At 38.3% G+C, this 23,633-nt stretch overlaps 1 protein-coding gene across 5 annotated transcripts in view, besides 2 other annotated features; it reads left to right on the top strand.

The window, feature by feature from the left end:
• The window catches only part of RGPD3 (RANBP2 like and GRIP domain containing 3), a 67,530-nt gene that overhangs the window by 24,329 nt on the left and 19,568 nt on the right, over positions 1-23,633 (top strand). For 4 of the 5 annotated variants that reach the window (XM_017004738.2, NM_001144013.2, XM_017004739.3 and 1 more), the window contains 13 exons: positions 5,227-5,314; positions 7,430-7,639; positions 9,753-9,934; positions 10,018-10,193; positions 10,361-10,484; positions 11,405-11,566; positions 11,833-11,970; positions 12,233-12,379; positions 13,322-13,501; positions 13,589-13,672; positions 16,826-16,961; positions 20,519-20,613; positions 21,341-23,564. In XM_017004738.2, coding sequence (XP_016860227.1) covers positions 5,227-5,314; positions 7,430-7,639; positions 9,753-9,934; positions 10,018-10,193; positions 10,361-10,484; positions 11,405-11,566; positions 11,833-11,970; positions 12,233-12,379; positions 13,322-13,501; positions 13,589-13,672; positions 16,826-16,961; positions 20,519-20,613; positions 21,341-23,564 — 3,946 coding nt within the window. Of the gene's footprint in view, positions 1-5,226; positions 5,315-7,429; positions 7,640-9,752; positions 9,935-10,017; positions 10,194-10,360; positions 10,485-11,404; positions 11,567-11,832; positions 11,971-12,232; positions 12,380-13,321; positions 13,502-13,588; positions 13,673-16,825; positions 16,962-18,364; positions 19,259-20,518; positions 20,614-21,340; positions 23,565-23,633 lie in introns of those variants that run through there. The other variant, XM_017004740.3, reaches the window with a different exon arrangement.
• Positions 1,763-2,264: an enhancer, noted in NCBI's record as "H3K27ac hESC enhancer chr2:107060799-107061300 (GRCh37/hg19 assembly coordinates)". NCBI's record gives its function as "activates a minimal SCP1, AML or CMV promoter by ChIP-STARR-seq in primed H9 embryonic stem cells {active_cell/tissue: H9 hESC(primed)}" and the evidence as "EXISTENCE:reporter gene assay evidence [ECO:0000049][PMID:30033119]".
• Positions 6,603-6,819: a silencer, noted in NCBI's record as "fragment chr2:107056244-107056460 (GRCh37/hg19 assembly coordinates)". NCBI's record gives its function as "represses an EF-1alpha promoter that drives an FKBP-Casp9 reporter gene in an ReSE screen in K562 erythroleukemia cells {active_cell/tissue: K562}" and the evidence as "EXISTENCE:reporter gene assay evidence [ECO:0000049][PMID:32094911]".

The raw sequence follows: 23,633 nt of genomic DNA, 5'->3' as shown, positions 1-23,633 counted from the left end.
CTGGCGCGCCTGGCCTTTTTTTTTTTTTTTTTTTTTTGAGATGGAGTCTCGCTCTGTCGCCCAGGCTGGAGTGCAGTGGCACGATCTTGGCTCACTGCAAGCTCCACCTCCCGAGTTCACGCCATTTTCCTGCCTCAGCCTCCTGAGTAGCTGGGACTACAGGCACCCGCCACCACACCTGGCTAATTTTTTTTTGTACTTTTAGTAGAGACGGGGTTTCACCATGTTAGCCAGGATGGTCTCAATCTCCTGACCTAGTCATCCACCTGCCTCGGCCTCCCAGAGTGCTGGGATTTACAGGCGTGAGCCACCATGCCCAGCCTTTTTTTTTTTTTTTTTTTTAATGAGCCTGCATAACTTTTGAAAGGAAAAGAAATAAGCAGTCTTCCAAAAAAGCATTAAACCAGGCTTAGAAAAATGATTAATTTTAGAGAAGGATTTTTTGCTTAGGGAGGGAAAAAAAAGGATTCATTACTTTTAGAGAAGGCCCCTCCTAATATAAATCTTTTTTTCTTTTTGAGACGGAGTTTTGCTCTTGTTGCCCAGGCTGGAGTGCAATGGCGCCATCTGGCTCACTGCAACCTCCGCCTCCCGGGTTCAAGCGATTGTCCTGCTTCAGCCTCCCGAGTAGCTGGGATTACAGGCACACGCCACCACGCCCATCTAATTTTGTATTTTTAGTAGAGACAAGGTTTCTCCATGTTGGTCAGGCTGGTCTTGAGCTCCTGAACTCAGGTGATCTGCGCGTCTCGGCCTCTCAAAGTGCTGGGATTACAGGCAGTGAGCCACCATGCCCTGCCTAATATAAATCTTTTTATTTTTATTTGAGACGGAGTCTCGCTCTGTCACCAGGCTGGAGTGCAGTGGCGCAATCTCAGCTCACTGCAACCTGTGTCTCCTGGGTTCAAGTGATTCTCCTGCTTCAGTCTGTCACGTATCTGGGATTACAGGCACACACCACCATGCCTGGCTAATCTTTTGTATTTTTTAATAGAGATGGGGTTTCACCATGTTAGCCAGGATGGTCTCGATCTTCTGACCTCGTGATCCACCTGACTCGGCCTCTCAAAGTGCTGGGATTACAGGCATGAGCCATTGAGCCCGGCCTGTAAATCTTTTAAAAACACCGTTGATAGACAGTTCACATGTTAAGTGCTAATATTTGCTCAGTAGAAACTTCTGTGTTCATAAGGAATGGATTAGTGAAAATTAATGGATTTAGTGAGGTTCACTAGGTAATACAAACATTAAAAGGTTCTTATAGAAATTCTCAAGTAACTGATAGTTCTTATTTTTATTTATTTTATTTTTTTTTTTTGAGACGGAGTCTCACTCTGTCGCCCAGGCTGGAGCACAGTGGCACGACCTCGGCTCACTGCAAGCTCCGCCTCCTGGGTTCACGCCATTCTCCTGCCTCAGCCTCCCGAGTAGCTGGGACTACAGGCACCCACCACCACGCCTGGCTAATTTTTTTGTATTTTCAGTAGAGATGGGGTTTCACCGTGTTAGCCAGGATGGTCTCGATCTCCTGACCTCATGATCTTGGCCTCCCAAAGTGCTGGCATTACAGGCGTGAGCCACCGCGCCCTGCCAATAGTTCTTATTTTTAATGGAAACTTTAAAATTTATCTGTCTGTGTGTCTATTAGAGTCTTGCTGTGTCACCCAGGCTGGAGTGCAGTTGCGTAATCGTAGCTCACCGTAACATTGAACTGGGCTCGAGCTTCCCAGAGTGCTGGGATTATAGGTGTGAGCTACTGCGCACAGCCTACAATTTTTTGATATGTAGTTTTGGGAGGTGCTGTGGCTGGAGTGCAGTGGCATGATCATAGCTCACTGCATCCTCGAACTCCTGGGCTCAAGTGATCCTCTCCTGCTTCAGCCTCAGCTCGGTACTGGGACTACAGGTGCCTGCCACCATGCCTGGCTACATTGTTAAATTTTTTGTAAAGACAAGGTCTTGCTATGTTTCCCAGGCTGGTTGGTCTTGAACTCCTGGCTTCAAGTGATCCTTCTGCCTTGCCCTCCCAAAGTGCTGAGATTACAGGTATGAGCCACCACACCTGACTGTGAACTTTTAATCATAATAAGTTAGTTTCCCTCTTAATCCATTCACTCAGGTCTCCTTTCCTAGATGACAGCTACTGTTAGGAGTTTCTTGGGTGTTCAGAAATATTTTTTGCATATGCAAATGTGCAATACATTCTTTCTCTGCTTTTAAAAAATATTGTGCCTCAATGTGGGTGTGCTTTACCTATTGCCAGATGCCTTGCTTTTCTAAATGTTTCTTCATTGTTCCACTTCAGCACAGAGATACCTACCTCAGTCTTTATTAACTACCACATATTTCTGTAGAATGAATATATAATAGAAACATCTTAGATGCTTGTATTTTATTTTATCAGTTTATTTTAAAGCTTAATGATCAAATGATTATAAGCATAAAATGTAGGTTATGTGCTGGCATTTGGGTATGTAAGAATTGGCTAACTTTTATGGCAAGATTTTCAGACTCTTAATCAGAGGAATACTGTGGTTCTAGTAAGTACATCTGCATTGCAGCTAGGTAGTTGACAAAGTATCTTGAAACCTTTTAGTTAAGATGAGGAAATAGCTAGGCATGGTGGCTCACGCCTATAATCTTAGCACTTTGGGAGGCTGAGGCGGGCGGATCACTTGAGGTCAGGAGTTTGAGACCATCCTGACCAACATGGTCAAACCCCATCTCTACTAAAAATAGAAAAATTAGCCACGCATGGTGGCGGGTGCCTGTAGTCCCAGCTACTTGAGAGGCCGAGACAGGAGAATTGCTTGAAACCAGGAGGCGGAGGTTGCAGTGAGCCGAGATCGTGCCACTGCAGCACTGCAGCACTGCAGCCTGGCAACAGAGCGAGACTCCATCTCAAAAAAAAAAAAAAAAAAGGAAATAGTGAATTGAGATGATTTGATTGAGTGGATTCACAACTAATTAACTGGTCACAAATTCAACTATTGAATAATTTTGTAAAAGAGGCCGGGTTTATGAATTGAGGTCAGTTTGAAAACAAAAAGAATGATGTCAACATTTTGTTTCTTATTTTGTGTGCTCTTTTCAACATATAGATGACAAACTTTGACATGATGTTTAGAAAACTTGTGAGTAAAAGGATAGGCGATACGAATATTTCTAAAATTCAAAATCAGAAGCTTTTAGGTTCATAAATCATATATTTTGAAAAATGAGCATATTTGGAAAGAATTATATATACATGGTTTAAAATTCTGGCGGCTCTTAAGAATATGCTATGAAGACTCCTTTCTGTTCCCTAGTTATTTACTTTCTCCACCCCCAAAGAAACTAATGTTATTGCTTTCTTGTGTGTTCTTCAGGAAATGTTTTATGCATCTCCAAGTAAACACACATATATCCCCTGTCTTTAAAAGAAGGAGGAAAACGTTTGAACATTGCATTTACTTTATTTCCATTAACTGTATCTTGGAGATGTTTCCATGTCAGTATATATAAAGGGTATTCTCATTAGTTTGGATGCTTGCATATTATTCCATTGTATGGATGTACTGTAGTTTTGGAGTTTTTAAAACCAGGGTCCTAAAGCCAGGACATTAGCTTGCTTTTACTTTTTTTTTAAAATGCTACTTCAAGTAATTTAGCAATGATTAACTTGTGCCATGAATTCCTGAAAGAATTGCAGTATCAAAGTATATCTGTGCATTTATAATTTTTAGAGCTGTTGCCAAATATCTAACCCTAAAGAGGTTGTATCAAATTACATTTCCACCACCAATTAAGAAAGTGGTGATAGAATTAAAAGCCGATGCTCTAGTCACCCATATAGTTACTTTTGGCATGTTTCTAGTAAGTGGGCATTGCCTATGACTGGACGTTTTCAGTGATGGACATTCATTACTTTTCAAGATAGCCCAGTGCATCTTTAGGTGGTTTGGCTCTTGGTACTTCCTTATATAGAATAAAAATATTCTTCAAGCCTTCTACCTGTTGGTCTTGTTTCTTCTTTTGATGATTTCTTTTATAAAATAATTTTAATATTTGAAGGCAGCTGTCACGTCTTCCCTTCGCCATTCTATTCATCATGCTTTTTTTTTTTTTTTCATAGGTTATTGCATTAGGATCTCTTTAATTTCCTGGTTGTCCCATTTATTCCAGTGCTATCCCCTATTATCCATACTCTGAAAATGTGTTATCTACAATGTGGCATTTCCAAGTGTCATTTCACCTGTACTTTTTAAAGTAGGGTGTCATATCTACTCAAATAGGACAACATCTGCTGTTGTCCTATTTATGCAGGGTAGAAAAGTAATGTAATTAAATTTTCCATTTCTCTGAATGTAACATGAATGTGCTTTTAGTAGAAACTAATTTCTCAGAGCTGCTCTGTGTATGCTTTTTTTTTTTTTTCTTTTGTTGGAGATAGGGTCTCACTCTGTCGCCCAAGCTGGAGCACAGTGGCATGATCATGGCTCACTGCAGCCTTGACCTCCTGGATTTAAGTGATCCTCCTGCCTCAGCCTCCTGAGTAGCTGGGACCACAGGTGTGTGCCACCATGCCTGGCTAATTAAAAAAAACTTTTTTTAGAGATAGGGTCTCACCGTGTTGTTCAGGCTGGTCTTGAACTCTGGGCTCAAGTGATCCCCCCACCTTGGCCTCCCAAAGTGCTGGGATTACAGGTGTGAGCCAACATGTCTGGCCCCTCTTTTTTTTTTTTTTTTTTTTTTTTTTTTTTTGCGATGGAGTCTCACTCTTTCACCCAGGCCGGAGTGCAATGGCACAGTCTCGGCGCACTACAACCTCTGCCTCCCAGGTTCAAGCTATCCTTGTGCCTCAGCCTCCCGTGTAGCTGGAATTAACAGGTGTGTGCCACCACGCCTGGCTCTTTGTTTTTTTTTTTTATTTTTAGTAGAGACTGTGTTTCACCATGTTGGCCAGGCTGGTCTCGAACTCCTGACCTCAAGTGATCAGCCCACCTTGGCCTCCCAGACAGAGTGTTGGGATTACAGGTGTGAGCCACCACGCCTGTACCTGGCCTATCTTTCATAGGTTATACAAATTCCTTGGTTCCCAGTTTTTGCAGTCTTTTCCAATTCAGTTTAATTAATGGTTAACTGTTCATTCATTATCAAAAAAAGTACAGTGTAATAGATAAGACCATGTTACTATTAGAAGTATGGGTATCATCAAATTAAGATTTTTGATTCTAAAATTATTAGGTTCCAAGACCAAAGATTAAATTAATAAAAGGTGAAGCTGGACAAAATCTGCTGGAAATGATGGCCTGTGACCGACTGAGCCAATCAGGTAATAGTAATATTAAACTAATTTAATTTAAAAAGAAAAAGGAATTTCTGTTAAGGCATATCTTATGATAAAATCTCAGTCTGTCCAGGAGATAATTTGTCAAAATTATTTCTTTTCGCCGTATCAGTTAAGAGCAATAGGTATGGAAGAGATGCGAAGAAATAGCACATTCTTTAAAAAAAATGAATATTTGATATTGTTTGTTCCTATGTGGAGAGGATTTCTTAACTCTTTCTTCATCTGGCTGCTAGAGCCTCTATCCTGAATATTTAGTCACTTCCTGAACTAAGTATAATTATTGATTTGCCAACCATTTAACACCAGCTGATTCTAAAAACACTGCTGTGGGGATATAAAGATGAAGAAGATACGCATCTGTCTTAAAGAACTGAGAGCATAGTGAGGAAGATAGAAGATATATACTTACCTTATATTAGGCTCTTGGAATTTGTGGATTTTTTCCCCCATTTTTGGCTTGGGATGAATCCTAAAGGTCTGTTGCGTATTACCTGTGATTTTGCTAAGATACAAACTTTAAGGTAGTTAGATGGCCATTGAATCAAGCAGTGAACTGAAGAAACATAATGCTTTCTATAAGGAGCAGTTCTGATATAAAATTGGATGAATTTTGTAAAGAGCAAGATGTAATATTAATCAAAGTTATTATAAGCTTTGGTGTATAGTTAGGCTGTTGGCCAAAGCTCACATTGCTCTTTTATTCCATAGCCCACTTTTTTTGTGGGAGTTAGGCTTTCAGTCCTTAAAGTGACTTTCTACTTTTTTCCTTTTCTCTTTTCCTTCTACCCTTGCAGGGCTCTCATAAGTGCCTTTGCATGGTGTCACAGTTAGATAAAAATTGCCTGTATTTTTTTTTATATCTTTGATCTGGGCATCCCGAGGGTGCCTCTGTAAGTGTGCTGAGACACAACTGTGTAGTGGTAACCAAACCTAATTGCCCAGCAGAATTAACTCGAAGGAGGGTTTTTTTAAAAAGTTCAATTGAAATATAATTCGTATACCATACGCTTCACCCATTTAAAGTGTACAGTTCAGTGGCTTTTACTATGTTCATAGAGTATTATCACTGTCACCACAGTCAGTTTTAGAAGATTTTCATCACTCCATGAGGAATTCCTTACCTATTAGCAGTTACTCCCCATTTTACCCAAACCTCTCAGCCTTGGCAACCGCTAATCTGTCTCTGTAGGTTTGCCTCTTCTGAACATTTCACATAAATGGAATCATATAGTATGTGGTCTTTTGTGACTGGCTTCTTTCATTTAGCAAGGTTTTCAAGGTTCATCTGTGTTATAGCATGTATCAGTACTTTATCCGAGGACTATGATTTTTTGATTGCTTACTGTAAACCTATGGCATAAAAATCTCTGGGAACAAGGCCTGGAAATAATTCTTTTTTTTTTTTTTTCCTGAGACAGTCTTACTCTGTCGCCCGGGCTGGAGTGCAGTGGCGTGATCTCGGCTCACTGCAAGCTCCGCCTCCCGGGTTCACACCATTCTCCTCCCTCAGCCTCCCCAGTAGCTGGGACTACAGGCACCCGCCACCAGGGCCGGCTAATTTTTTTTGTGTGTGTATTTTTAGTAGAGATGGAGTTTCACTGTGTTAGCCAGGATGGTCTTGATCTCCTGACCTCATTATCCACCCAGCTTGGCCTCCCAAAGTGCTGGGATTACAAGCATGAGCCACCATGCCCAGCTGGAAATAATTCTTAAAAGCTGTTTAAAGGAGGATTCTGATGAGCCAGGTTTAGAAATCAGTGTATCAGATCAGAGAATAAGAGCTTGTCCCTGTTCTCCTATGGCCACTTAAATCCAGACCTTTTCATCTAAAATGCAAATACATTTGGCATTTTTCATACACATTCCTGTCTTTTTTCCCCCTTCTGCTGTCTTATGTAGATACTGAGAATATTAAACCTGTACTCTTTTCATTTGCTACATAAGCACCCGTTTTGTTGTCCAGCTGTATTTTTTGGGTTGGAGGGTTAGGTCTGCAATAATCATATTATTTCCCCTTTGGGTATACAAATGAGACAACGTGAGCAAATACAATCTGTATTTTTAAAGTGATGGAAATAACTTAAATTTTTTTTTCAGGGCACATGTTGCTAAACTTAAGTCGTGGCAAGCAAGATTTTTTAAAAGTGGTTGTTGAAACTTTTGCCAACAAAAGCGGGCAGTCTGCATTATATGATGCTCTGTTTTCTAGTCAGTCACCTAAGGATACATCTTTTCTTGGTAGCGATGATATTGGAAACATTGATGTACAAGAACCAGAGCTTGAAGATTTGGCTAGATACGATGTTGGTAAGTTATATGTTTCAGAGGAAATGGTCTCCGTCTTAATTCTTATAAATTGCCCATAATCTTATTACCCAGAAATAACGACTTAATATTTTCCTGTATTCCTTTTGTGTGTGGGTTGGGCTGGGGGGAGTTTGAATGTGGTGCTGTGGGGGTGGCATGTATTTTTTGTTGTTGTTGTTGTTTTTGAGACCAAGTTTTGCTCTTGTCGCCCATGCTGGAGTGCAGTGGTGCGATCTCGGCTCACTGTAACCTCTGCCTCCCGGGTTCAAGTAATTCTACTGCCTCAGTCTCCCAAGTAGCGGGATTACAAATGCCCACCACCACGCCCGGCTAATTTTTTGTAGTTTTAGTAGAGACAGGGTTTCATCATGTTGGTCAGGCTGGTCTCAAACTCCTGACCTCAGGTGATCCACCTGCCTTGGCCTCCCAAAGTGCTGGGATTACAGGTGTGAGCCACCGTGACCAGCCTTGTTGTATTTTGAGACAGGGTCTCGCTGTGTCACCTGGGCTGGAGTGTAGTGGCGTGATCGTAGGTCACTGCTGCCTTGAACTTCTGGGCTCAAGGGATTCTCTTGCCTCAGCCTCCTGAGTAGCTGGTACCATAGGCACATGCCACTCGGCCCAGATAATTTTTTTTTTTTAATTGGTAGAGACAGGGTCTCCCTTTGTTGCCCAGGCTAGTCTCCAACTCCTAGGCTCAAGTGATCCTCCTGCCTAAGCCCCCCAAAGTGTTGGGATTAAGCCCGACACAGTGGCTCATATCTGTAATCCCAGCACTTTGGGAGGCCGAGGCGGGCAGATCACCTGAGATCAGGAGTTCAAGACCATCCTGGCCAACATGGTGAAACCCCGTCTCTACTAAAAATACAAAAATTATCCGGGGGTGGTGGCATGTGCCTGTAGTCCCTACTCAGGAGGCTGAGGCAGGAGAATCGCTTCAACCGGGAGGTGGAGGTTGCAGTGAGCCAAGATCACACTGCTGCACTACAGCCTGGGCGACAGAGCGAGACTTCGTCTCAGAAACAAAAAGTGTTGGAATTATAGGCATGAGCCACTGCATCTGGCCATATTTTTCATCTAAATGGTTATGTATGATTTATCTTGCTTCCTTCATGAATTCTCTCCCATAGTCTCTGTATTAAAACTATAAATATCACTTTTATTGGCAATATAATCTTTTTTATGAAGTAGTCATAATTTGCTTGCTACTTTCTGTTATTGGGCATCCAAGTTTTCTCAACTTTTCCACTGTTAATAATCATACTCTGATAAAAACTTCAACAAAAAGTGTCTTCATGGCAAGTTATTTCCATAGAGATACCTATAAACAGAATTACTGAGACAAAGGACATGAACATCTTTAAGTCTTGCAAATTGCCAAAATGACAGAAAGATTATACCTCTTCATGCTTCCAGAAGCGCATAACCTTTTCTTTTCTTTTCTTTTCTTTTTTTTGAGACAGAGTCTCGCTCTGTCACCCAGGCTGGAGCGCAGTGGCGCAATCTTGGCTCACTGCAACTTCCGCCTGCCAGGTTCAAGCAATTGTCTTGCCTCAGCCTCCCATGTAGCTGGGACTATAGGCACGTGACACCGTGCTCGGCTAATTTTTTGTATTTTTAGTAGAGGCGGAGTTTCACCATGCTGGCCAGGCTGGTCTCGAACTCCTGACTGCGCATAACCTTTTCAATATTGACTTTCTTGTAGAAAAACAGATTTCTTTACTGTACTGATGGATTATATAGTGGTGTTCCATTGCTTTAATGACTTAAAGGAAAACCCATTGTTTTGGGGTTTCTTATTAGGTTAGGTGTTCTTTATTTGGCTTTTGTCAGTTGATTTTGGTTTATTGAGTTCTAGTCAGTGTCATTTTTTAAGATGGACTTAAACATTCTTCATCACTACTATTTTTATTAAAATTTCTAGAAATAATCAAGTGAGAATGCATTTAATAAGAACATGAGATTTTGCCTAACATAGAATTCCCTCCAGCTTTGATATAGAAAAGCAGTTATATAATTAAGATATATATAATGTGAATTGTTTATGTTGGCAAAACTAATGGCACAAGGAAAAATTTCAAACCCTTAAGCCAATTTTTTTATTTTATTTCAGGTGCTATTCGAGCACATAATGGTAGTCTTCAGCACCTTACTTGGCTTGGCTTACAGTGGAATTCATTGCCTGCTTTACCTGGAATCCGAAAATGGCTAAAACAGCTTTTCCATCATTTGCCCCAGGAAACCTCAAGGCTTGAAACAAATGCACCTGAATCAATATGTATTTTAGATCTTGAAGTAAGCAAAGATTTTAACAAATTAAATATTCTGAATTTTGTTTAATTTTTTTTTCTAACTTAACTTTTCCTTAAATGAAACAGGTATTTCTCCTTGGAGTAGTATATACCAGCCACTTACAATTAAAGGAGAAATGTAATTCTCACCACAGCTCCTATCAGCCGTTATGCCTGCCCCTTCCTGTGTGTAAACAGCTTTGTACAGAAAGACAAAAATCTTGGTGGGATGCGGTTTGTACTCTGATTCACAGAAAAGCAGTGTAAGTAGTAAAACAAAAATATTGCTTTCACTTAGTGCGTAGGTTTTACCGGGGATTTAATCCTCGTGTGAAGATTTAATTTGTCATGTGACCCATTAACATATATGTATGTAAGCGCTGAACTGTGTATTTAGAAAGCAATTTTAGTAAATTGAACTATTTTTTAGACCTGGAAACTCAGCAAAATTGAGACTTCTAGTTCAGCATGAAATAAACACTCTAAGAGCCCAGGAAAAACATGGCCTTCAACCTGCTCTGCTTGTACATTGGGCAAAATGCCTTCAGAAAATGGTGAGTTTTAAAGTATAAGCATTTTAAAAGAACATTACCTTAATTTTTTAAAATCATGAACTTTTTATTGAAAGTTTTTTTGTTCTGAAAACAGCAGCTTTGTCATATTATGACAGATGTGTTTTTTATTGCTGCAAAATAGTTAATGTAGTTAAATATAAGCACTTAGAGGAGCAATGCCTGGCACACAGTGAATGTTACATATTAGCTGAGCTGTTACTGTTATTCCTTAATAATTAAGTTCTGATAATTATTCAGCCTGAAAATTAAAAAAAAATTAGCACAAGGCTTTGTAGGTAAGACCATTATAGATCTTTCTAAATATTTAAGGTGTGTTTTGTGTCACCATTAGGTGTAGATGGTCAGCCTTTTGAACAAACTGACACTACAGAAGAGGCAGGTTTCAGCTATCTAAAAATGGCAACTGTTAAAAAGCAGTTGGGATTGCTACGTTAGGGTGGTATCATTAGAAGCATTTAAAAGTTGAGTGTAGAGGCCGGGTGCGGTGGCTCACACCTGTAATCCCAGCACGTTAGGAGGCCGAGGCGGGCAGATCACAAGGTCAGGAGATCGAGATCATTCCTGGCTAACACGGTGAAACCCCGTCTCTACTAAAAATACAAAAAAAACTCTACTAAAACTACAAAATTAGCCAGACATGGTGGCAGGTGCCTGTAATCCCAGCTACTTGGGAAGCTGAGGCAGGAGAATTGCTTGAACCTGCACGGCAGAGGTTGCAGTGAGTTCACTGGTATTAAGGTGGTTTAGTTATTACAGTATTTGGAAGTTGAACAAATGACTATTGAGGTACCATTTGGTTTTGACTTGAAATTTTAGCCAGTTCTTACAACTTGTAAATGAACTTTAGATCTAATCATGCGTGTTCCTTAAAGTTGTGTGCTTTTAACTTTCTTTTTTAGGGCAGCGGTCTTAATTCTTTTTATGATCAACGAGAATACATAGGGAGAAGTGTTCATTATTGGAAGAAAGTTTTGCCATTGTTGAAGATAATAAAAAAGAAGAACAGTATTCCTGAACCTATTGATCCTCTGTTTAAACATTTTCATAGTGTAGACATTCAGGTAACAGAGTTCCTTTATGAATTTATTGGAGATGGGAATTTCCAGTTTATAAACAAAGACATGGAGCTATACACTGCTTAAATTAATTGCCTTGTTATTTAACGGTAATCTTGTTTTCTAAATTCACTAGCTCTCACAGATAAGATATGACAGAGAAGAATAATGAGATGTTTGTCTCTTAAGATCATATAAAATCTTTGGAAAATCATTTGGGTTTTATATTCTGAGTATAAACAATTTGACTAAAAACTATTCTGTGTGTTTAGGCATCAGAAATTGTTGAATATGAAGAAGACGCACACGTAACTTTTGCTATATTGGATGCAGTAAATGGAAATATAGAAGATGCTATGACTGCTTTTGAATCTATAAAAAGTGTTGTTTCTTATTGGAATCTTGCACTGGTAAGTAGATGCAGTACTTGAGCTAAAAGTTTTATTTATTTATTTATTATTTCTTTTAAAAGATGGGGTTTCTCTGCTGGCCAGGCTAGAGTGCAGTGGCACAATCTTGGCTCACTGCAACCTCTGCTTCCCAGGCTCAAGCGATTCTTGTGCCTCAGCTCCCGAGTAGCTGGGATTACAGGCATGAGCCACCATGCGTGGCCAAGCTGAAAGTTTTTTGTTTTAAAAAGCTAATGATTTCATAAAAGCACTATTTGTATAGATTTTTCACAGGAAGGCAGAAGACATTGCAAATGATGCCCTTTCTCCTGAAGAACAAGAAGAATGCAAAAATTATCTGAGAAAGACCAGGGGCTACCTAATAAAGATTTTAGATGACAGTGATTCAAATCTTTCAGTGGTCAAGAAAGTAAGTAGCAGGTTGTTGTATGTACGTTCTTACTGATAACCCACTGGTCAGTGTTTTTGCGTTGGTCTTATATTTTGGTAATTTCAAAAAATACTCAGTAATATGTTGTTATTAATGCACAGAAGGGATGTGTGTGTCTAAATGCTTAGATTTGCTTGCTTTGTCTTAGGTTTGGTGTGTCTTTTTAAACTTGGGAATCTAGGTATATGCTCTTAAAAAGTACTTCTTGGGGAATTAGAAAAGATTTCTAAGATAAGACATTGATTTTGTTATCTTAGCAGTGTAATCAAAACAAATATTATAACCTCAGGACTAATTCTTAATGAACTTTGCTGAAATTGAAAGTTGTTGCTGACAACTTAAGAGCATTTCTTCTCATCGTCATCAGCCATTATGAACGCCCTTGTTTTCTTGCTGTCAGCTGTTTGAGATTGTCATGATGATGTTAAATTATGTTCAGTCTTCTGAGTGTTTTGTTGGTTAATTTGTGTTACTACTCTTTTATTAGGATTTATGTTGTCTGGTGTATTGTAGCATCTGTATTTCTGTCACCATTGAAAATCAGTTAGAAAACATCAGTAACTTATTTTGTTCACTTGGAAAAGCTTTCCAAGTTAACATTCCTCTACAATTATCATGGTTAACAGAAGTAATAGAAAGAGCATGGACTTTAGAATCAGAAGATGTTAGATTGTACAACACTTTTCTGTGTTCATGAAAGAAAAAATAGAATAAAGACAAAAAAATAAAAATAATACAAAACAGCAGAAAAACAAAGAAAAAAGATAATTAAAAAACACTTTCACGTGTATTATTATTTAAAGTGTAAAGTGCTTATTAAAGTGACAAAAATGTAAATAAGATAAAATATATCATTTTAGAGTTTTTACTTTTGGAATTTTTTGCAAATGAAAGCCCTTAATTAATGTCTTTTATTTTTAGTTGCCTGTGCCCCTGGAGTCTGTAAAAGAGATGCTTAAGTCAGTCATGCAGGAACTCGAAAACTATAGTGAAGGAGGTCCTCTCTATAAAAATGGTTCTTTGCGAAATGCGGATTCAGAAATAAAACATTCTACACCATCTCCTACCAAATATTCACTATCACCAAGTAAAAGTTACAAGGTAAACAGGAAAGAATGGAATCATTTCATTGTGAAATTGTTTCTAAGTGTTTTAAATGCTCTTTTGTTATTTTTATTTTTTTTTTAGTATTCTCCCAAAACACCACCTCGATGGGCAGAAGATCAGAATTCTTTACTGAAAATGATTCGCCAAGAAGTAAAGGCCATTAAGGTAAGTCACTTAATTTCTCTAGCTGTACTTTTTATTCCAAGATTCCTTCCCTGGCCACTCTCTCACTTTTTTTCTGAAGCTGGTCAGAATGTCCCCTTGCCATCCAAATAGTATGGCAAGGGGACATTTTGGTCTTTTTTTTTTTTTTTTTTTTTTAAGGCAGGGTCTTGTTGTGCAGGCTGGAGTACAGTGGTATGATCACAGCTTACTGCGGCTTCGACCTCCTAGCTCAAGAGAGCCTCTTGGCTTAGCCTGCCACGAAGCCAGGACTACAGACAGTCACACGCCACTAGGCCCAGCTAATTGTATTTTTTGTAGAGATGGGATTTTTCCATGTTGCCCAGGGTGGCCTTGAACTCCTGGCTCAAACAATCCTCCTGCTTCAGCCTCCCAAAGTGCTGGGATTGCAGGTGTGAGCCACTGTGCCCAGCCTACATACCTTGGTCTTGACCCTTTTCCATATTTTATTTTATTTTATTTTTGAGACAGAGGCTCGCTCTGTTGCCCAGGCTGGAGTGCAGTGGTGCAATCTTGGCTCACTGCAACCTCCACCTCCCAGGTTCAAGCGACTCTCCTGCCTCAGCCTCCCGAGTAGCTGGGATTACAGGCACCCGCCACCAGGCCCAGCTAATTTTTGTATTTTTAGTAGACACAGAGTTTCACCATGTTGGCCAAGCTGGTTTTGAACTTCTGACCTCAGGCGATCTGCCCGCCTTGGCCTCCCAAAGTGCTGGGATTACAGGTGTAAACCACCGCACCCAGCCCTTTACTATATTTTTGAAAGTACTTTATGTGTCTCTCTCCTCATCTTTCACAAAATTTGAGACCTTCAAAGGTAGAAACTGTTTTATTTAAAATATAAGAGTTCCTGACACAGAGAAGGTTCCCGAGTGATTGAACTGCTACAATGTACTAATCATACTCTGGTCTATGAGTTCATTCCCAGATTAGCTGTGGATTACATGTGTTTCAAATGTATAGCTAGGAATTGAAAAGTGGTCTGAGCTTCAAAAAGTCTTACTATATTTTAATACTTCCATATGAATTTGACTTAATTATGTAAGGAAATAGTTATGTATATATATCGTATTTTAACAATAGGGTTCAAAGGAGCTTGACTTTTTTGGAATTGGAAATAAAAGTAGGTTCTTTCATGTTTATCAGGCAAGAACTAAATTATACTGCTAAAGTTACATCAAAGATATGCTGATGTGTGGCGATTATTACAGTGTGATCAGCAGTATTTGCAAATTAAGAGAATACTATTTGGTGGGGAAGACATTTTTGAATTTGCACAAAAATCTTGAATGTTAATTCTGTGTAGTCATGGCCTATGACAATTACATACAATTTTGACTTAACATACAGGTTTCAGGCTCCCAACATTGTATTCTGTGGAAGTATAGTGGAGCACTGGTCCATGAGCTTGAAAAGCTTGGTACTAGTACTGACTCTGCCATTAATTAATGATCTTGGGCCAGTCACTTCCTTTGTGACCGTTTGGCTTCTTATCTTTAAAATGAGAGAATTATCGAAGCCAGTTCTCATCACACTGAATGTTAAAAATTACAGTTACAGCAGTGATTGCAAATTCAAAGCTCTGGTGCAGATACCAGCAGTGACCATAAAGTTTTCTAGGTGATTCCACTAGTTTCTTATTTCTTGGATGTGTATGTGTAGCATCTGGACTAGGCACTGTAGATGGATGAGTGGGGGAAATTTTATTTAGCTTGAAAATTGAGATAGTTTTGGACCTCATGGTTAGGTCTTTCTGGGAAATTTTTATTTGAAACACTTGTAGAAAAAGAAAGCAGACATGCTAGATCTGTCCCTGACCTCACTTGTTAGAACTGGTCGGATTCCTGGGCTGATACAGAGAAGTTTGAAACTTTTCAAAATTTACCTGTTTTCTGATACCACTACAATTTCTTTGGAAAAAGAATTTCCTGTTAAGTGTCTGTTTTGTAAGGGGACATTTTGTAGGTTCTAGGGTGTTGGGTATGGTGCTGTCATTTAGTTTTCTTCAGCAGAGATCAGGTAGCCACATAGCTACACTAGACGGCATTGTATCTATCTGCCATCTTGTCAAGGCAGCAGAGTTGTGTTAAGAAAACATTTTTGGAGTCAGATGTGGTTCAAATTCCAGCTGTTATTCCCTGCATCCCTTTCTCTCATTTTAAGATAGGAGCTAATATTGTTTACCTAACAGTGTAGATAGTATAAAAATTAAGAGTTTAAGTGCATTGGACATATTATTATATACATAATAAATTCTCTGCAGCTACTACTTTTTTCCCTTTCCTGGTGGAGCATTTGAACATCACCTTGAGAATTAGTTGTATTTTGTTTGAACACAGGGTTAAGTGAAAAGCTAATTTGGGGAGGTGATTTGGAATGTCAGGTAGTCCAGATTGCAGTGTAGAAAGAACACACTGAAAGGATGGTCAGTGTAATGTTAGAGGACTGTGAAAGTTGGGGAAAGAAGTTTAGTTTGTAGGTACTTGTTTTTTTGAGCAGGGAATTGTCTTGGCTGGAGGTGAACGTCAGGTTAATGTAGGCAAGTGTAGAATGGAAATGAAGGTGTGATCATTTAGGAGGTTATTTGTTTAGGTGAGAGAGTTAATGAATTAAGTTTTGTATTAACGAAAATGGGAGCAGATAAATTTTTAACAAATTAAGAATCATATTTTAAAATCAGCACCAGGTACCTAGAACTCATTGGCAAATAGAAACTTTCAAAAGATATAATCAGGTCCGGGCGTGGTGGGTCACACCTATAATCCCAGCACTTTGGGAGGCTGAGGTGGTGGATCACTTGAGGTCAGGAGTTCAAGACTAGCCTGGCAAACATGGTGAAACCGCATCTCTACTATTATACAAAAAATTAGCCGGGCGTGCTGGCTGACACCTGTAATCCCAGCTAGTTGGGAGGCTGAGGTGGGAGAATTGCTTGAGCCCAGGAGGTGGAGGTTGCGGTGAGCCAAGATTGTGCCATTGCACTCCAGCCTGGACGACAGATCGAGACACCATCTCAAAAAAGAAAAAAAGAAAAAATCAGTTATTTAAATTTAAAAGAGTAAGTTTCCCCAGCACTGTTTCTGGCATGATATAATTAAATGATTAAAATTATTTGATTTTTTTTTCTTCCAATAGGAAGAAATGCAGGAGTTGAAACTAAATAGCAGTAAGTCAGCATCCCATCATCGTTGGCCCACAGAGAATTATGGACCAGACTCGGTGCCTGATGGATATCAGGGGTCACAGACATTTCATGGGGCTCCACTAACAGGTGAGCTGGCAAGTGGATAATCGCATATTTTAGTAAAACTACTTTACTTCCCTCTTTTAAGTAGATAACGTGTGAAATCACCTTGTTTATATATGTTTGTTAATATACATGTCAACATCTGTTTATATGTGACTTCAAAAGCTGTATTTGGTGTTACGGAGATTTTTATAATCCCAAGCAGAAAAAACGAGCCGTATGTGATCACGTGTATATAAAGGCTTAAAGAACACTTAATCCACACCTCAGATGAGCTGAGATTAGATTATTCCTTAAATTGAAAAATGTTATTGAATAGAGTTATGCACTAAGAAATGCTTAATTAAGAACCTACACCTCTGGGGAATTATTTTGATGATAATGATGAGAGGCAGGACGTTATATAGGAAATCTTACTTAATTTGAAATATTATGGTTATATAAAGAAAGAAAAGGAGTTTGGACCTGAATCATACTGGGTTTTTAAGTTCTGCTCTATCACTTACTATAATAGCTGTGTAAGTTAACCTGTCTGAAATGTGGAGATAATACTTGCCTTACATAATTACTATGAGCATTTGTGTATGTGCAGGTGGGTGTGGGTGTGTATCAGACATTTATTAGAGTATACAGTAAACAGTTAATGAACTAAGGTTACTAATAGTGTTTACTGTGGGTTGGCTATGTGCAAAAGTGCTTTGTGAATGTAATTTTATTTAATTACAGTAACTTAGAATGGCCGGTACCATTATTAATCCCTTTTTTATAAATAAGGAAATGGATAAAGAAAGGTTAGGTAACTTACTCATTATTATACAGCTAGTTATTGATAGAGCCGAGATTCACACTCCAGTGGTGTAACTCCAAAGCACTTGCCAGTATAATACATTGCTCCCAGGCAGCCAGAAATAACAAAATTGTTCCTTTTATGTACGACAGACTTCTGAAATGGTAGTAGTAGTGCCCTTTTTTTTCTCTCTCTCTCTTTTTAGCCCAGGAAAGATTTAGAATAAAATCTGGTTTAGATGAGCACATTTGTGTGATGGTTCATATAGTTAAGGCAACCCCACTAGCCTTTTGTGATAGTATCTTCTCAACACAAGCAAAATAACAGAAAATCTTTGTGAAGTCAAGCTTATTAAATGTCGTAAGTCATAGATAAGTATATGAAATGTCTAACGTTCAAACCTTGTTTTCTTAAAACCTTACACATCATATAGGTCCTTGTAAGAGGATAAACAAACCGGCTAGCCTTTCCTGGGGCTTTTTTAGTGATGTGTGCAGTCAGTTATTTGGTGCCTTTTGGGTCATGATTTCCATTTCTTCTGTGTACAGGCATAAAAGGTCTTCTGTTCTTATACAAGCATGTAAATCCAACATTCTCATTGTCTCATTTTATTCTTGCAATGACCCTGTGAAATATGTAGAAGCAGCACATCGTCATTTTACAATTGAGAAACATGGAGACTCCAAATGGATTATTTACAGGTTCACAAAACAGCTTTGTGGCACTGAAAGGGCGAGAGCCAAGATCTCCTGATTTCTGTTCCTGTGTTCATAGATTCTTTTTCCTTAATAAAAGTAAACATATATCAAGATGGTCCTTGTTTTTTAAAAATAAGATGATTAAAATTAAAGATTAATGAGCTCATAGGAGATACTCAGAAGTACTGAACAGGGTGAAGAAAACTAAAAACTAACCACCTTATTAACATTTCTTATATTTGAGAGCATTTCCTTCTGGTTCTTTCTCTATACATATAGTATTTTTTATGAGATTGTTACCATGTTACTATGTTGTGTGTAGATGAGCTAGCCTGTTTTTTAAATGTTACTTTAGTTCTGAGCATTTTTAAACTTAAATGTTTTTTGAATATTAATGAGTTCATGGTATCCCATCACATGGAAGTACTGTAAATTCTGTTCCTTTATTTATGTTGTTTCTGGTTTATGCCATTACAAATTCTAGGACACTGTCCTAGTTTTGTAGGGTATTCAAAATATTCAGTTTATGCTCTTACCACTAGTATCTGATAGTGCCATTTTCGCACTTTTGCTAATGCTGACTTACTAGTTTATAAAATCCTTTGCCAATTTGTAGGAACAAAAGTGATATCAATTTTTAAGTTTTTTTAATACTAGTCATGCTCAACAATTCATGCAAATGGCAGTTGGTAGTTTTGCCATCTTCAACGTGGGTACCTTCCAGTTGTTTGGTTTCTTGGTAAAACTCACACAAAACAGATGGAGAAGAGTTTTTGTATATCAACATGAATGTTAATGTGATTTTTTTAAAGCCAACGAACACATTTGTGTTCCTTGAGAGATCCTGTGCATGAATTTGTCAGGTAATTTTTTTGACCTGAACATTCTCATAATAGCTTCAATTTGCACAATGCAACCTCGTCATTTTGCAGATTTTCAAGGCTCACTTCAAAAACATGTTCCTTGAGGCCTATTAACATTTCTTTCCTAAATTGTCTATTCATATGGTGCTTTTAAAAGTTAGATTACTTTTAGTAGATTTATTAGAGCCGCACAGTTTAGAGTCAGTAGTCAATTAAAGTCCCTACTTAAACTTCAGACTAAGATTTTTTTTTTATTTAATATTTTATTTTTTCTTTTTGCTTTCATGCAGACAGACATCTTGCAAGACTTTAAGATTCTTGGGCCATTTCTGTCAGGTTGTTCTGTGTTCTGTGCCTGCTTCCTCCCCATAGTAATTTCAAAATAGCTATCCTCACCTCTGTAAGGTTTCCAAAATCAAACTTGGGCTTCTGGCTAGCCTTTTCTAGGTCTTGATTTTTCAGTGCTTTCCAGAGGCAATTGTTTGGAACCTCTTGGCACAGTTTCTGTTTCTTCTTCCATGTACAGGCATGAAAGATCTTTTGGTTGTTTTCTGGTAAAACTATCATAAAACAGTTCAAGCAAATGACTATTGGTAGTTTTGTCATTAACAGGGGTGCCTTCTAGTCGTTTTGTTTCCTGGTAAAACAGACCAAACAGAGGGAGCAGACAGTTTGTACATCTGTATGAGTGTTGATGTGCTTTTTATTTTAAGCCAGGGAACACATTTTATGTTATTTATGACATCCTTTCCATGAATTTGTCAGGTGATTTTTGAGCTGAACATTCTCAGTAATAGCTTTAGTTTACAAAATACAACCTAGTCTTTCTGCAGATTTTCTAGGCCCACTTCAAATGCATTGACCATCAGAGGGCATCTTGGTTCCTTACGTCCTTTCTGTGACTGAATGTCCATAATTCCACATCATACTGATCTTTCTTAGAAAAGGCAACAGTTACTTTCTTCTTTATTCCTTTTTTAATGCTTGTGAGGTAGTTCTTGTTGATCACAGCGATGCTATTCTCTTATTCTTCATGTCATATTTAGCAGTTTTTTTCTAGTTTGTCATTTGATAATCTTGATTGGTGTATTTTGATGTACAGAAATTTAAAATTTATGTAGTTAAATCTTTCTTTAATTTCTATTGCTTTTGTATTTGTAGCTCTTGCCTAGATAGTCTTAACTGTAGTATAGACTTTAACAGTGTTTTCTTTCTTTTCTTTTTTTTTTTTAGTTGCAACTACTGGCCCTTCAGTATATTATAGTCAGTCACCAGCATATAATTCCCAGTATCTTCTCAGACCAGCAGCTAATGTTACTCCCACAAAGGTAACAAAGGAATAATTTATACATTTATAATTATTTCCTTTTTAAATTGTTTAGGGTTCCTTCAAATAAATTCAAGAGAGCAGTTCACTATTAAAACTTTTATGTCCCTTAAAATGTAGATATTTTAAATTTATCTCCAAATACAGAAATTATCCTTCTTAGTCACCTTATTTTTGTGTTAATAAGTGTGAATATTTAGAATATTTTAAAAATGGGAGTGGTGGTGGTGGATCCTTCATCGTTCTGTTTTAACAGAAATAGAACTGTAATGCCCTTGCTGACCCACTATGTGGTAAGTACTTTCAGGCCTGATACAGCTATATATATAACAATTGATTGAAGACTCAATATTACAGTGGTAGTTGAATGTGACAGCTTTGAGGACAGAGTGTTGGGGTGCATTTAGACCCTTGCTCTTCTGCTTATTTTGACCACAGGCAAGTTTCTTAACCTCTCAATGCATCAGTTGCCTCATATGTAAAATGAGGATAATAATAATACCTTAATTCATAGGGTTTTTGAGGATATTAAAATGAGATAATAATGTAAAGTGCTTAGAACAGTGCCCAGCTGGCACATTAATAAATGCTCAATAAATGTTATCATCATCATCATCATCATTATTGTTAACATCATTTGATAAATTGTTTAGGAATGAAGAAGGTATGTATTTCATGACTATTTTGGGCATGTGGATCAAGAAAATTCACCTTCATTTATGTTTCAGGGTTCTTCTAATACAGAATTTAAGTCAACCAAAGAAGGATTTTCCATCCCTGTGTCTGCTGATGGATTTAAATTTGGCATTTCGGAACCAGGAAATCAAGAAAAGAAAAGTGAAAAGCCTCTTGAAAATGATACTGGCTTACAGGCTCAGGATATTAGTGGCCGGAAGAAGGGCCGTGGTGTGATTTTTGGCCAAACAAGTAGCACTTTTACATTTGCAGATGTTGCAAAATCAACTTCAGGAGAAGGATTTCAGTTTGGCAAAAAAGACCTCAATTTCAAGGGATTTTCAGGTGCTGGAGAAAAATTATTCTCATCACAATACGGTAAAATGGCCAATAAAGCAAACACTTCCGGTGACTTTGAGAAAGATGATGATGCCTATAAGACTGAGGACAGCGATGACATCCATTTTGAACCAGTAGTTCAAATGCCTGAAAAAGTAGAACTTGTAACAGGAGAAGAAGGTGAAAAAGTTCTGTATTCACAGGGGGTAAAACTATTTAGATTTGATGCTGAGGTAAGTCAGTGGAAAGAAAGGGGCTTGGGGAACTTAAAAATTCTCAAAAACGAGGTCAATGGCAAAGTAAGAATGCTGATGCAAAGAGAACAAGTACTAAAAGTGTGTGCTAATCATTGGATAACGACTACAATGAACCTGAAGCCCCTCTCTGGATCAGATAGAGCATGGATGTGGTCAGCCAGTGATTTCTCTGATGGTGATGCCAAACTAGAGCGATTGGCAGCAAAATTTAAAACACCAGAGCTGGCTGAAGAATTCAAGCAGAAATTTGAGGAATGCCAGCGGCTTCTGTTAGACATACCACTTCAAACTCCCCATAAACTTGTAGATACTGGCAGAGCTGCCAAGTTAATACAGAGAGCTGAAGAAATGAAGAGTGGACTGAAAGATTTCAAAACATTTTTGACAAATGATCAAACAAAAGTCGCTGAGGAAGAAAATAAGGGTTCAGGTACAGGTGCGGCCGGTGCCTCAGACACAACAATAAAACCCAATGCTGAAAACACTGGGCCCACATTAGAATGGGATAACTATGATTTAAGGGAAGATGCTTTGGATGATAGTGTCAGTAGTAGCTCAGTACATGCTTCTCCATTGGCAAGTAGCCCTGTGAGAAAAAATCTTTTCCACTTTGATGAGTCAACAACAGGATCTAACTTCAGTTTTAAATCTGCTTTGAGTCTATCTAAGTCTCCTGCCAAGTTGAATCAGAGTGGGACTTCAGTTGGCACTGATGAAGAATCTGATGTTACTCAAGAAGAAGAGAGAGATGGACAGTACTTTGAACCTGTTGTTCCTTTACCTGATCTAGTTGAAGTATCCAGTGGTGAGGAAAATGAACAAGTTGTTTTTAGTCACAGGGCAGAATTCTACAGATATGATAAAGATGTTGGTCAATGGAAAGAAAGGGGCATTGGTGATATAAAGATTTTACAGAATTATGATAATAAGCACGTTCGTATACTGATGAGAAGGGACCAAGTATTAAAACTTTGTGCCAATCACAGAATAACTCCAGACATGAGTTTGCAAAATATGAAAGGGACAGAAAGAGTATGGGTGTGGACTGCATGTGATTTTGCAGATGGAGAAAGAAAAGTAGAGCATTTAGCTGTTCGTTTTAAACTACAGGATGTTGCAGACTCGTTTAAGAAAATTTTTGATGAAGCAAAAACAGCCCAGGAAAAAGATTCTTTGATAACACCTCATGTTTCTCGGTCAAGCACTCCCAGAGAGTCACCATGTGGCAAAATTGCTGTAGCTGTATTAGAAGAAACCACAAGAGAGAGGACAGATGTTATTCAGGGTGATGATGTAGCAGATGCAGCTTCAGAAGTTGAAGTGTCTAGCACATCTGAAACAACAACAAAAGCAGTGGTTTCTCCTCCAAAGTTTGTATTTGGTTCAGAGTCTGTTAAAAGAATTTTTAGTAGTGAAAAATCAAAACCATTTGCATTTGGCAACAGTTCTGCCACTGGGTCTTTGTTTGGATTTAGTTTTAATGCACCTTTGAAAAGTAACAATAGTGAAACTAGTTCAGTAGCCCAGAGTGGATCTGAAAGCAAAGTGGAACCTAAAAAATGTGAACTGTCAAAGAACTCTGATATCGAACAGTCTTCAGATAGCAAAGTCAAAAATCTCTCTGCTTCCTTTCCAACGGAAGAATCTTCAATCAACTACACATTTAAAACACCAGAAAAGGGTAGGTACTTTGTTGTTAAAGTTAAGCACAATTTTTCTTTCTTTTAATGTTTAGCTTGATGCAGACTCT

The sequence above is a fragment of the Homo sapiens genome, chromosome 2 (genome assembly GCF_000001405.40).
Source record: "Homo sapiens chromosome 2, GRCh38.p14 Primary Assembly".
In the NCBI taxonomy this organism is placed as follows: domain Eukaryota; kingdom Metazoa; phylum Chordata; class Mammalia; order Primates; family Hominidae; genus Homo; species Homo sapiens.
Note: the sequence above shows the minus strand (reverse complement) of the source record. Positions and strands in the feature narration are given on the sequence as shown.